At 40.7% G+C, this 14,405-nt stretch overlaps 2 annotated features.

Moving 5' to 3' along the window:
- Positions 1,028 to 1,528: an enhancer, noted in NCBI's record as "NANOG-H3K4me1 hESC enhancer chr9:7879626-7880126 (GRCh37/hg19 assembly coordinates)". NCBI's record gives its function as "activates a minimal SCP1, AML or CMV promoter by ChIP-STARR-seq in naive H9 embryonic stem cells {active_cell/tissue: H9 hESC(naive)}" and the evidence as "EXISTENCE:reporter gene assay evidence [ECO:0000049][PMID:30033119]".
- Positions 1,529 to 2,029: an enhancer, noted in NCBI's record as "NANOG-H3K4me1 hESC enhancer chr9:7880127-7880627 (GRCh37/hg19 assembly coordinates)". NCBI's record gives its function as "activates a minimal SCP1, AML or CMV promoter by ChIP-STARR-seq in naive H9 embryonic stem cells {active_cell/tissue: H9 hESC(naive)}" and the evidence as "EXISTENCE:reporter gene assay evidence [ECO:0000049][PMID:30033119]".

Consider the following 14,405-nt stretch of genomic DNA (forward strand, 5'->3'; position numbering starts at 1 on the left):
GTCAAAGAGTGTGATAAGTTTTGGGAAATTTAATAAAGGTATGTTAGTGAGAACAATGTGTTCCTGTCAGCCATAGTCCCTTAATAAGGATCTTGAAACAAAATTTCTTTAATATCTGAGTTACAAGGAAATGTGTATTTCTTCTAACTGTGTTGACTTTATAATGTGGACATTTCCCCTCTTAAAAATGATTGTTTTTTTCCCTTCCTTTGGCTCCTAGGAAGCTCAGAACCAACTTTGTAGACCACTTACAGCAAGTGTATAGTATCTTAAGATGTGCATTCCTGTTGGCTCATCTTCCATATGGCTTTATTTTATATTTCTCTCATTGTGCCCATTTTCCATGTGTAATCTCTTCTCTCACTGACTCAGATGGTCCCTGTCATGTCCCCAGCAACTTCAGTTCCAAAGACACCCTCAAGGCCTTACTCCATCCACAGGGAAGGAGAGCTCTAAAATAGTTCAAAGTGAAAATGGAATTCTTAGGCTACCTAAATTAGGTTGCCATATTGTTTGTAGAAAGGTGGAGTTTTAATGAGAGGACTAACCAAATTAGAGCCCAAACAAAATCAGAGACATTTCTCCCACATCATTTTAATTTCCTCATTTTCTCTTATCTTCCTCTCTTGTCTCCCGAGAATTGGTATGGTGAATCAAGGGCTGGAAATGACTTCTGTTTGGGAGGTACCCTGCATTGGACAGCCAAGTAGAAATCTGAACAGGATTTAGAGAAAAGGAAGGTTAGATCAGCTGCTCATGCTAGTTTCTGGACTCTCCTTTAAAAGGAGCCAGGGTTACTTGGTGCACACCATAACTCCAGTTATGCTCACCAGCTTGATTGGGGCAAAGCTCTAACTAGAAAAGAAGAAACTGTGCAAGCTTGAAGCGTGCCTTGTACCTCTGATCCTCAGGCCCTCATGGTGGTGCCAGGCAACTGGAGCAAGTATTTGGATCCCCACTGCAGAGAACATGTATAAAAGCCACAATTTCTGATGGGCAGGGCCAAGATGGCCAACTAGAAGCAGTTGTGATCAGAGGCTCCCAACAAAAAGAACCATAACAGCATGTGAATCCTGTAACAACAACTGAGGTATCCAGGTTCTGTCATCACAAATGACTAGGCAGCTGGCATGACTCATGGAGAGGAAGGAAGAGCAGTGTGGTGTGACTGCCAACCTGAGAACCACATGGGGCAGGGATGCCCCCACCCCCCAGCCAAGGGAGGCAGTGAGTGAGTGTGCTACCCAGCCTGGGAAAAAGTGCTTTTTCCATAGAACTGTGCAACCCACGGATTGGAAGATCCCACTCATGAGCTCACACCACCCGGGCCTAGGGGTCTCAACCATGGAGTTGTGCAGATTCTCAACAGCCATTAAGCTAGAATCTGCTTAAGCCTGCTGAGCTCCCGGGGGAGGGGTGACCAGCACCACAGCTGCGGCTGCCTTCTGTCTAAGCCGTTTGAGCTCCTTGGGGGAGGTGTGACAGCCAACACTGGGTCTGATCAAAGCCTAACACACTAAGCTCCTAGGGTGGGGGAAGGGCAGCAACCCTCTCTGTAGCTTCAGGCTGTGCTTTTCCCCTGCTGGAGCCAGGGAGGCTAGACGGCTTACTCCCAAGAGGTATCCCCTACAGTCCAACACACCTGCTGTGGCAGATTGCAGGGTGCCTCTTCAGGCCTGACCTTGACCCATCCCTCCTTACTGGGTGGGACCTCCCAGCAGAAACTCCGAAAACTCCAGCCAGGGGCTCAGGTACAGAACTCTGGTCTCCCTGGGCCTGAGCCCCTAGGGAGAGGGGTGGCCACAGTCTCCACAGACCAGCAGACTTAGTCTTTCCTCCTGCTAGTTCTGAGAAATCTGGGCAGCACAGACGAATGGGTTTCCCCCCAGCAAAGCACACCCCCTCCACCAAGCGACAGTCAAAGTGCTTTGTTAAATGGTTCCTGCTCCCCATGCCACCCAACTGGGTGAGACCCTCCAACATGGTTTGTCAGACACCCTATACAGGAGTGTTCCCACTAGTATTAGGTCAGTTCCCCTCAAGGTGAGAGATCTCAGAGAAAGGAGCAGGCATCCATCTTTGCTGTTCTCCAGCCTCCTCAAGTGACATCTCCAGGTATGGTAGTGAACCAGATGAATAGGGCCTGAAGTGAATCACCAGCAAACCACAGCAGCCCTACAGAAGAGGGACCTGACCATTGCAAGAAAAACAAACAAACAGAAAGCAACAACAACAGCATCAACAGAAAAAAGTCCCTACAAAAACCCCATCCAAGGGTCAGCAACCTCAAAGATCGATACTAGGCAAACTCATGAAGATGAGAAAGAATCAACAACAATAACAAAATATGCTGAAAACCCAAAAGGCCAGAGTGCCACTTCTCTAAATGATCACAATGCCTCTCCAACAAGGGTGCAGAACTGGACAGAGGATGAGATGGACGAATGGCCAAAAGTAGGCTTCAGAAGGTGGGTAAAAACAAACTCTGCTGAGCTAAAGGAGCATGTTCAAACCCAATGCAAAGAAGGTAAGAACCCTGATAAAAGGTTACAGAAGCTGCCAACTAGAATAACCAGTTTAGAGAGGGACATAAATGACCTGATGGAGCTGAAAAACACAGCACGAGAACTTCATGAAGCATACACATATATCAATAGCTGAATTGACCAAGGAGAAGAAATGATATCAGAGTTTGAAGAACATCTTGCTGTAATAAGGCATGCAGATAAGATTAGAGAAAGAAGAATGAAAAGGAAGGAACAAACCTCTGAGAAGTATGGGCCTACGATTGATTGGAGTACCTGAAAGTGACGGGAAGAGTGAAACCAAGTTGGAAAACACACTTCAGGATATTATCCAGGAGAACTTCCCCAACCTAGCAAGGCAGGCCAACATGCAAATTCAAGAAGTACAAAAACATGACTAAGATACTGCACGAGAAGATCAACCCCAAGACACATAATCATCAGATTCTCCAAGGTCGAAATTAAGGATAAAATGTTAAGGGCAGCCGGAGAGAAAGGCCAGGTCACCTACAAAGGAAAGCCCATCAGACTAACAGTGGACCTCTCAGCAGAAACCCTACAAGCCAGAAGAGAGTGGGGTTCAATTCAACATTCTTAAGGAAGAAAATTTTCAACCCAGAATTTCATATCCAGCCAAACTAAGCTTCATAAGCGAAAGAGAACTAAAATCCTTTCCAGACAAGCAAATGCTGAGGGATTTTGTCACCACCAGGCCTGCCTTGCAAGAGCTCCTGAAGGAAGCACTAAATATGGAAAGGAAAAAAACAGTACCAGCCATTGCAAAAGCACACCAGAATGTAAAGACCAATGATACTATGAAGAAACTGCATCCAGTGTGCAAAATAACCAAATAGCATCATGATGACAGGATCGAATTCACACATGACAATATTAACCTTAAATGTCAATGGACTAAATGCCCCAATTAAAAGACACAGACAGGCAATTTGGGTAACAGTCAAGACCCATTGGTGTGCTGTATTCATGAGACCCATCTCATGTTCAAAGATGCACATAGGCTCAAAATAAAGGGAGGAAGGAAAATTTACTAAGCAAATGGAAAGCAAAAAAAAGCAGGCGCTGCGATCCTAGTCTCTGGCAAAACAGACTTTAAACCAACAAAGATCAAAAAAGACAAAGTAGGGCATTACATAATGGTAAAGGGATCAAATCAACAAGAAGAGCTAACTATTCTAAATATATATGCACCTAATATTGGAGCACGCAGATTAATAAAACAAGTTATTAGAGACTTGAAAAGAGACTTAGACTCCCACACAATAATAGTGGGAGACTTTAATACCCCACTGTCAACATTATACAGATCAACAAAGCAGAATATTAACAAGGATATTCAGGACTTGAACAAGGATATTCAGGACTTGAACTCAGCACTGGATCAAGTGGAACTAATAGACATCTACAGAACTCTCCACCGCAAGTCAACAGAATATACATTCTTCTCGGTGCCACACGGCACTTATTCTAAAATTGACCATATAATTGGAAATAAAACATACCTCAGCAAATGCAAAAGAACTGAAATCATAACAAACAGTTTGTCAGACCACAGGGCAATCAAATTAGAACCGAGGATTAAGAAACTCACTCAAAACCTCACAATTACATGGAAATTGAACAACCCGCTCCTGAATGACTCCTGGGTATATAATGAAATTAAGGTATAAATCAAGAAGTTCTTTGAAAACAATGAGAACAAGAGACAATGTACCAGAATTTCTGGGAGACAGCTAAAGCAGTGTTAAGAGGGAAACTTATAGCACTAAATGCCCATATTAGAAAGCTAGAAAGATGTCAAATCAACACCCTAATATCACAATTAAAAGAGCTCACATAAAGTATAATAATAATAAAATTAAAAAAAAGAGCTAGAGAAGCAAGAGCAAATAAATCCAAAAGCTAGCAGAAGACAAGAAATAACTAAGAGCAGAGCAAAACTGAAGGAGATAAAGACACGAAAAACCCTTCCAAAAAAAAAATCAATGTATCCAGGAGCTGTTTGTTTTTTAAAAATTAACAAAATACTTAGACTGCTAGCTAGACTAATGAAGAAAATAGAAAAGAATCAAATAGACACAATAAAAAATGATAAAGGGGATATCATCACTGACCCCACAGAAATACAAACTATCATCAGAGTATAGTATAAACACCTCTACCCAAGTAAACTAGAAAATCTAGAATAAATGGATAAATTCCTAGACACATACACCCTTCCATGACTAAACCAGGAAGAAGTTGAATCCCTAATAGACCAGTAACAAGTTCTGAAATTGAGGCAGCGATTAATAGCCTACCAACCAAAAAAAACAGCTCAGGGCCAGATGGATTCACAAGCAAATTGTACCAGAGATACAAAGAGGAGCTGGTACCATTCCTTCTGAAACTTTTCCAAACAATTGAAAAGGAGGGCCTCCTCCCTGACTCATTTTATGAGGCCAGCATCACCCTGATACCAAAACCTGGCAGAGACACAACAAAAAAAGAAAACTTCAGGCCAATATCCCTGGTGAACATCGATGTGAAAATCATCAATAAAATACTGGCAAACTGAATCCAGCAGCATATCCGAAAGCTATTCACCATGATCAAGTTGGCTTCATCCCTGGGATGCAAGGCGGTTCAACATATGCAAATCAATAAATGTAATCCATCATGTAAAGAGAACCAATGAAAAAAATCCACATGATCATCTCAATAGCTGCAGGAAAGGCCTTCGATAAAATTGAATATCTCTTCATGTTAAAAACTCTCAATAAGCTAGGTATTGATGGAGCATACCTCACAATAATAGCTATTTATGACAAACACACAGCCAATGTCATACTGAATGGGTAAAAGCTGGATATTCCCTTTGAAAACTGGCACAAGTCAAGGATGCCCTCCCTCACCACTCCTATTCAACACAGTATTGGAAGTTCTGGCCAGGGCAATCAGGCAAGAGAAAGAATTAAAGGCTATTCAAATAGGAAGAAAGGAAGCCAAATTACCTCTGTTTACAGATGACATGTTTGTATATTTAGAAAACCCCATCATCTCAGGCCAAAAACTCCTTAAACTGATAAGAAACTTCACTAAAGTCTCAAGATACAAAATCAATGTGCAAAAATCACAAGCATTCCTGTACACCAAAAATAGACAAGGAGTGAGCAAAATCATGAATGAATTCCCATCCACAATTGCTACAGAGAGAATAAAATACCTAGGAATGCAGCTAACAAGGGAAGTGAAGGATCTCTTCAAGGAGAACTATAAACCACTACTCAAAGAAATAAGAAGAGGACAACAAACAAATGGAAAAACATTCCATTCTCATGGATAGGAAGAACCAATATCATGAAAATGGCCATACCGCCCAAAGTAATTTGTAGATTCAATGCTGGTCAAACTACCATTGACAGTCTTCACAGAATTAGGACAAACTACATTAAATTTTATATGGAACCAAAAAGAAGCCCATATAGCCAGGACAATCCTAATCAAAAAGAACAAAGCTGGAGGCATCACGCTACCTGACTTGAACACTCACCAAAACATCATGGTACTGGTACCAAAACAGACATATAGACCAATGGAACAGAACAGAGACCTCAGAAATAATGCCACACATCTACAACCATCTGATCTTCAACAAACCTGACAAAAACAAGCAATGGGGAAAGGATTCCCTATTTAATAAATGGTGCTGTGAAAACTGGCTAACCATGTGCAGAAAACTGAAACTGGACTCCTTCCTTACACCATACACAAAATTAACTCAAGATAGATTAAAGACTTAAATGTAAAACCCAAAACCATAATAACCCTAGAAGAAAACTTAGACAATACCATTTAGGAGGTAGGCATGGGCAAAGACTTCATGACTAAAATGCCAAAAGCAATTGCAACAAAAGCCAAAATTGCCAAGTGGGATCTAATTAAACTAAAGAGCCTCTGTACAACAAAAGATACTATCATCAGGGTGAACAGGCTACCTACAGAACGGGAGAAAATTTTTGCAATCTACCCATCTGACGAAGGTCTAATACCCAGAATCTACAAGGAACTTAAACAAATTTACAAGAGAAAAACAACTCCATCAAAAAATAGGCAAAGGTTATGAACAGTCACTTCTCAAAAGAAGACATTTATGCATCCAACAAAGATATGAAAAAAAGCTAAGCATCACTGATCATTAGAGAAATGCAAATCACAACCACAGTGAGACACCATCTCACACCAGTCAAAATGTCAATTATTAAAAAGTCAAGAAACAATAGATGCTGGCAAGGCTATGGAGAAATTGAAACACTTTTATACTGTTGGTGGGAACGTAAATTAGTTTAACCATTGTGGAAGAGAGTATGGCAATTCCTCAAGGATCTTAGAACCAGAAATACCATTTGACCCAGCAATTCCATTACTGGGTATATACCCAGAGGAATATAAATCATTCTACTATAGAGACATGCACAAGTATGTTTATTGCACCACTATTAATAGCAAAGGCTTGGAACCAACCCAAATGCCCATCAACCATAGACTGGATAAAGAAAATGTGGTACATATACACCATGGAATACTATGCAACTATAAAAAATAATGAAATTATGTCCTTTACAGGGACATGGATGAAGCTGGAAGCCATCATCCTCAGCAAACCAACACAGGAACAGGAAACCAAACACTGCATGTTCTCACTCATGAGTGGGAGTTGAACAGTGATAACACATGGACACAGGCAGGGGAACGACACACACCAGGGCCAGTCAGAGGGTGGAGGCTGAGGGGAGGGAAAGCATTAGGACAAATAGCTAATGCATGCAGGGCTTAAAACCTAGGTGACAAGTTGATAGGTGCAGCAAACCACCATGGCACACGTATACCTATGTAACAAACCTACATGTTCTGCAATTGTATCCCAGAACTTCAAGTAAAATAAAACAAAAACCCACAATTCCCTTATCTATTTATCTAATCCTGTTAGATTGCATTTACTTTTACAAACAGCCTCAAATTCCTTGGTGAGAAAAACATGACATGTACACATGAATGAAAGAATAGAGGACCCTGATGAAAATGCAGGTAGAATAAGCCCTGTTGATGCCAATGCTCTCCCACGTGGTGGTCTGTCACAATGCCTGAAATCCTGGCATTAGAGATCCTTCTTTGAAATGAGTTACTTTCTCCAAAACTCACGGTCAAAATGAGCACATTTTCTCCCTTCAACACATTGGTGATTTATAATTGTACCTTTAAATACTTTTTAAGCTGAAGGCCCTTTACAAATTTAAGGAATTCTATTATCAGTGCCATAATTTTGATTAATGTAGATTAGATTATCGGTATCTTGGAAATCAAAAGGAAGGACCCTGGCACACTAGGGTGGAGAGCAGATAAATCTTATAAGCTTCATTAATGAAGCTCAAAGGGAAACCTGGGAATGATTGAGACAAGTTGTTCATATGTTCCTGGTATAGAGCAAGCTGTGGGGTAATGAGGCCATTCAGACGGGAAGATCACCTCTCCACAGGAGGCTAAGTAAGTCATGAGGAGTATGAATCCTAGGGCCAGATTTTCCGGTTCAAATCCTGGGTCTGCCACACACTGGCTGCATGATCTTGGGCAAAAGACAACTTTTCTGTGCTATTTTCCCATCAGTGAAATGGAGACAAGAGTAGAATGAGCTTCATAAGGTAGGCTTCAGGACCGAATGAGTTGACATTAGAAAAGTGTTCAGAGCAGTGCCTGGCACATAGTAATACCATGTTGGTTAAATAAAACATGGAAAAAAATAAAGTGGTTCAGAGAAGGGCTGGGTATCATGGAAGTCATGAAATGCTTGTGATTTTAACTCTAATATAAATGTATTTTTCCATTTTAAGAGACATATCTATGAAACAGAAGTATAAGATAAATGAATATTAAAAGTGGGGAGTTTAGTATGCAAGAGTGCATGAATCCAGTGGAAGAGACAGAAAAACAGGTTTTAAAGAAAATGCAGAATTTGATGACAGATGGAGTGATAAGATTTTTTTGTTTGTTTGTTTTTTTAGAAGAACAGGTAAGATAGTTCTTGAATGCCAAGAATTGTGGTTACTCAAGTGCAAGTTCCTGTTGTTTATGGAAAACTGTCCTGGGCCTGTTGTGAGCACAGGTGTTGAATGGATGTTGATGGACGCTTTTAATGAGTGAACAGTGGCAGGACATAGCATTTTAGGACTTAGAGTCTATACCAAACTGCCCAACAGAAACATAATGAGAGTCATAGATGTAATTTAAAATTTTCTAGCAGTCTCATTAAAAAGAAGTAATGAAAGACAGAATCAACTTTAATAATATGTTTTACTTAAATTAATATATCTAAAATATTATTTCAATATGTAATCAAATTTAAGAAATTAATGAAATTTTTTTACTAAATCTTTGAAATATAGCATGTAATTTATACTTCTAGCACAACTTAATTCAGACTAACCACATTTCACATGCTTAATAGATGAATGTGACCAGAAGCTATGGTATTGGACAGAGCAGTGCTGGACCTTCAGTTATTATTAGCCTCTCTCTTGGGGTGCATAGTACCCTTATCTACTAGATTAATACCCAGTTGTTCCATTTTAGTCATCCATGGTTTTCACTCATACATTAAATTCCTACTCTATATTGGACCCTGAATTAAATACTAGCAATTCAAAGATGTACATAAGGAGTATAATTTTATATCCCAAGTAAACTTAACTGGATTAAACTAGTTCTGGCCTGTTCACATTGAATTCAACCAAATTAAACTAGTATAAATATGATCAATTGAAAACTGGATCAAACTGCTTTAAGAAAGCAAGCCATTGCGAACCTGTTTTAACAAGAACAAAAATTTCTGGTTAATTCCCTTGGTTTACAGTTTAATTACACTCTTGAGAAGTTGTTCCAATTTCAACTGGCTCTTGTGTGTGTTGATAATTTAGTTTAATCTAGACTATTTATATTTCAGCCATTTCAAAATAGCTCATAATAGATCCAATAACTTCTTACCAATTCAAAATTGAGTGGTTTGTATATTGGTCATTCCTCACGCTGCTATGAAGAAGTACTCAAGAATGGGTAATTTATAAAGGAAAGAGGTTTAATTGACTCACAGTTCTGCATTGCTGGGGAAACCTCAGGAAACTTACAATCGTGGTAGAAGGCAAAGGAGAAGCAGGCACCTTCTTCATGGGGTAGCAGGATGGATTGAGTGCAAGCAGGGGAAATGCGAGATACCTATAAAACCATCAGATCTCCTGAGATTCACTCATCATGAGAGCAGCATGGGGGAAACTGCCCCTATGATCCAATTACTTCTACCTGGTTCCACCCTTGATGTATGGGGATTATTACAATTGAAAGTGAAATTTGGATGGGGAGACAGAGCCAAACCATATCTGCCTGATTCTAAAATATTAAATATTTTAAGCTACTTATAAACAGGCAAATGTTGCTAGACCCACAATACCATGAGAGATGAAGGCAGAAACCAGGTTATAATAATTGGGCCTGGTAGTTACAGCTACTCTAGCAAGAAACCTAACTTTAGCTTGAACTGGTGGATTATTGTACTAAGATTTCCCAAAACCTCCTGAATAAGGGAATGCTTATTCCCAGAAAGAGGGACAAACATGAAACATTGAGCTAAGGTCAAATAACCTTAATAGTAAGTTCATGTCATAGTTGGCAAGTGGATGCTAAGTGACTCCTGACACTTAGGACTATACACAACAAGTGAATGGGGAGAGATAGGGGATTGGACTCCAATTCAACATGGGGTCACTCTGAGACACCTGGTAACTGTACTAGGGAAAGAGGCAACAAAAAGAAGGAAACAGAGAAGGGATACAAGTTTCCAAAAACACTTCACTCAGACTTTTGAGCTCATGCCTGGGTAAAGACAGCATGTGAAGAGATTCCCAACCACGCCTTGGGTCTTGGGGAAGGAGGTAGCCATGAACTGATGCACAGACAGACTGCGGGAAGATACACTAGCTTTTTCTTACTCCAGACATTTTATCATTCAATGCATGCTGTCTAGCACTATCAGGCTAATTTTTCCTGAACTACCCTTTCATTATTTTCAGGTCTCTCTTCTCAAAAACATTCAGTGGCTCAACTTGGCTCCCAAGTCAAGCTCTACATCTGATTTGTTATCACCTCGCTCTTCTTTGCTAGCTAGGCTACTTTTCTTGCCACTTTCTGATTGCTACTAACCTCTATAGTCAGCATTATTACCCTTTCAGACTCATGTTAATTTATTCTTCTTGATGATATCCCTGTCTTCATTTTGTGTTTCCTTTGCTTATCTAATTCTTTTAACAAAAGAAATACAAGGTCCCACTTCCTCCCTTAAGTCTCCTACCTCATAGATTTGATCTTCCACTACAACTTCCAGCATCACACAACATATTGCCTATATTGCCTTGTCTTATTCCTTGAGAATTTCACCAGTGTGAACCTCAACACCTCAAGCAGCTTGAAAGATATTCAACAGCAGGGATCTTGCCTTTGTAGTCATTTGCCACCAGCATTATAAAGCTTTGAACACAGAAATCCTCAGTGTATTCCTCCAAAATAGGTTTTAGTGCTTACTACTTGGGATGAAGCAGGAAGTAGGTGTCTTGGCTTCATGGAACTTATAATTCAATAGGAGAAAAATGAAGACATAAATGAATAAATAATTAGCTTATTTATGACTTGATATGTCCCATGATAAAAATAATTTAGTCCATTGAGATAAGAAGAAAGAAGGACGCTATGGGTGAAACTTAGTTATCAATATTCAGAGAAAGCTTCTCTGAAGAACTTAAATTTAAGCAGGGCCTTGAATGATGAGAAAGAGGAGGTAGCCCTGCAAAGGGAAATATGTACTGAATATTTTATCTTTTGCATTATTTGTAATAAATGCAGAGAGGCTGCCATACACATTTAGTCCAGGTATGAAGAAAACTTTACCTACTTGCCATCTGGACTGTAAAGGAATACACTGAGCCTACAAGAATGCAAAGAAGGCCAGGCGCGGTGGCTCACGCCTGTAATCCCAGCACTTTGGGAAGCCGAGGTGGGTGGATCATGAGATCAGGAGATCAAGACCATCCTGGCTAACACGGTGAAACCCTGTCTCTACTACAAATACAAAAAATTAGCTAGGCGTCGTGGCAGGTACCTGTGGTCCCAGCTGCTCGGAAGGCTGAGGCAGGAGAATGGCGTGAACCGGGAGGAGGAGCTTGCAGTGAGCCGAGATCGTGCCACTGCATGCCAGCCTGGGCGACAGAGCGAGACTCCATCTCAAAAAAAAAAAAAAAAAAAAAAAAAAAAAAGAATGCAAAGAAAAAAATGTTCATAGAGTAATGGAAGAGCACTTTTTCAATTCTCTCTATCTGCAAGAAGATATTGATTTAAATGTGATAATCAAAGCAGTCTTATGATGGAACTTATAAGTAGGGAGCATTCCAACATACTTTTATTTATTTTTTTTTTTTTGAGAGAGTCTCGCTCTGTCACCCAGGCTGGAGTGCAGTGGCACAATCTCGGCTCACTGCAAGCTCTGCCTCTCAAGTTCATATCGTTCTCCTGCCTCAGCCCCCTGAGTAGCTGGGACTACAGGCACCCACCACCATGCCCAGCTAACTTTTTATATTTTTAGTAGAGATGGGGTTTCACCGTGTTAGCCAGGATGGTCTTGATCTCCTGACCTCATGATCCACCCGCCTCGGCCTCCCAAAGTGCTGGGATTACAGGTGTGAACCACTGTGCCCAGCCTCAACAGATTTTTTAAAAATAAAATGGTAATACAGGCCAGGTGTGGTGGCTCATGGCTGTAATCCCAGCACTTTGGGAGGCCAAGGTGGGTGGATCATGATGTCAGGAGATTGAGACCATCCTGGCTAACACAGTGAAACCCTGTCTGTACTGAAAATACAAAAAATTAGCCCAGCGTGGTGGCGGGCGCCTGTAGTTCCAGCTACTCAGGAGGCTGAGGCAGGAGAATGGTGTGAACCCGGGAGGCAGAGCTTGCAGTGAGTCAAGATTGTGCCACTGCACGCCAGCCTGGGCGACAGAGCGAGACTCCATCTCAAAAAAAGAAATAAATAAATAAAAAATAAAATAAAATGGTAATATAAAACAGGGGTTATCAGAGATATTGCACAGACCTTCTAGCCCTACTTTCTGCCTTCTAGACTGCCTAGGAACTATGAGACCCATATCAGGATTCTCCAGGGAAACAGAACCATGAAGGATGAAGAGAAAGTGGGAAAGAGACACAGAGAGAGAGAGATTTTAAGGAAATACCTTATTTGATTGTTGTATTAGTCCATTTTCATTCTGCTGATAAAGACGTACCCAAGATTGGTAATTTACAAAAGAAAGAGGTTTAATGCACTTACAGTTCCACATGGATGGGGAGGCCTCACAATCATGGAGGAAGGCAAGGAGGAACAAGTCACATCTTACGTTAATGGCGGCAGGCAAAGAGAGAGCTTGTGCAGGGAAACTCCCCATTATAAAAGTGTCAGACCTTGTGATACTTATTCACTGTCACAGAAGAGCACAGGAAAGACCTGTCCCCATATTTCGATCACCCCCCACCAGGACCTTCCCACAACATGTGGGAATTAAAGATGAGATTTGGGTGGGGACACAGACAAACCATATCATTCCATCTCTGGCCCCTCCCAAATCTCATGTCCTCATATTTCAAAACCAATCATGTCTTCCCAACAGTCTCCCAAAGTCTTAACTCATTTCAGCATTAACTCAAAAGTCCACAGTCCAAAGTCCCAAGTCTCATATTTACTGTATTAGTCTATTTGCACACTGCTGATAAAGACATACCTGAGACTGGGCAATTTGCAAAGAAACAGGTTTAAGAGACTTACAGTTCTTTGCGGCTAGGGAGACCTCACAATCATGGCAAAAAGCAAAAAGAAGCAAGTCATGTCTTACCTGGATGGCAGCAGGCAAAAAGAGAGAACTTGTGAGTTTATAAACTCACCCTTATAAAACCATTGGATCTCATGAGACTTATTCACTATCACAAGAACAGCATGGAAAAGACTTGCCCCCATGATTCCATCATCTCCCACCGGGTCCCTCCCACATGTGGGAATTCAAGATGAGATTTGGGTGGGGACACAGACAAACCATATCAATTGTGTATGCTGGCAAGTCCACAATCTGTAGGATTAGGCTGATAGGCTGGAAACCCAAGATAGCAACCCAGGGGATATTTACTGTTTTGAATTAAAAGGCAGTCTGCTGGCAGAATTTCCCATTCTTCCAGGAAGGTTAGTCTTTTTTCTATTAAGGCCATGATTAAAGCATGAACTATGGCATTGGTTGCAGGGATAGCGAGGGGGTTACATTTAATAAATATTTGCAAGATAAAGTAAGCACAACTTAATGATTAGATGCATAGAGAGGGAAGGGAGAATCTAAATTGACTTCCAAGTGCTTAGCTTGGATGGCCAAATGGATTTAGGCTCTATTATTTGAAAGCAGAATATATATAGAGAAGCAACTTTGTTGAGGAAAGAGATTGAAGAAATTTGAATTTGTATTGGAATACTGTGAGTTTGAAGAGCCACTGGGCCTTCTAACAGAGATATGCAAAAGATTTTCTGAGTCTTAAGTTCAAAGAACATTTGGGAATTTAAGAACAAAATGTCAAACTCATCTGCACGCAGATTATAGTTTTCCACTAGAACTTTCAATGAAATTGGCCAAATAGAGGCTGAAGAGGAAAAGAGCAGTGTGGGTCATGGAGAAAGGAGACAGAAGTCATAAACAGGACTGTAGAGAAATAGTCACAGAAGTGAAACGGAACCAGAGTAACAAGTATCACAGGAG

This window comes from Homo sapiens, chromosome 9, assembly GCF_000001405.40.
Source record: "Homo sapiens chromosome 9, GRCh38.p14 Primary Assembly".
Taxonomy (NCBI): Eukaryota; Metazoa; Chordata; class Mammalia; order Primates; family Hominidae; genus Homo; species Homo sapiens.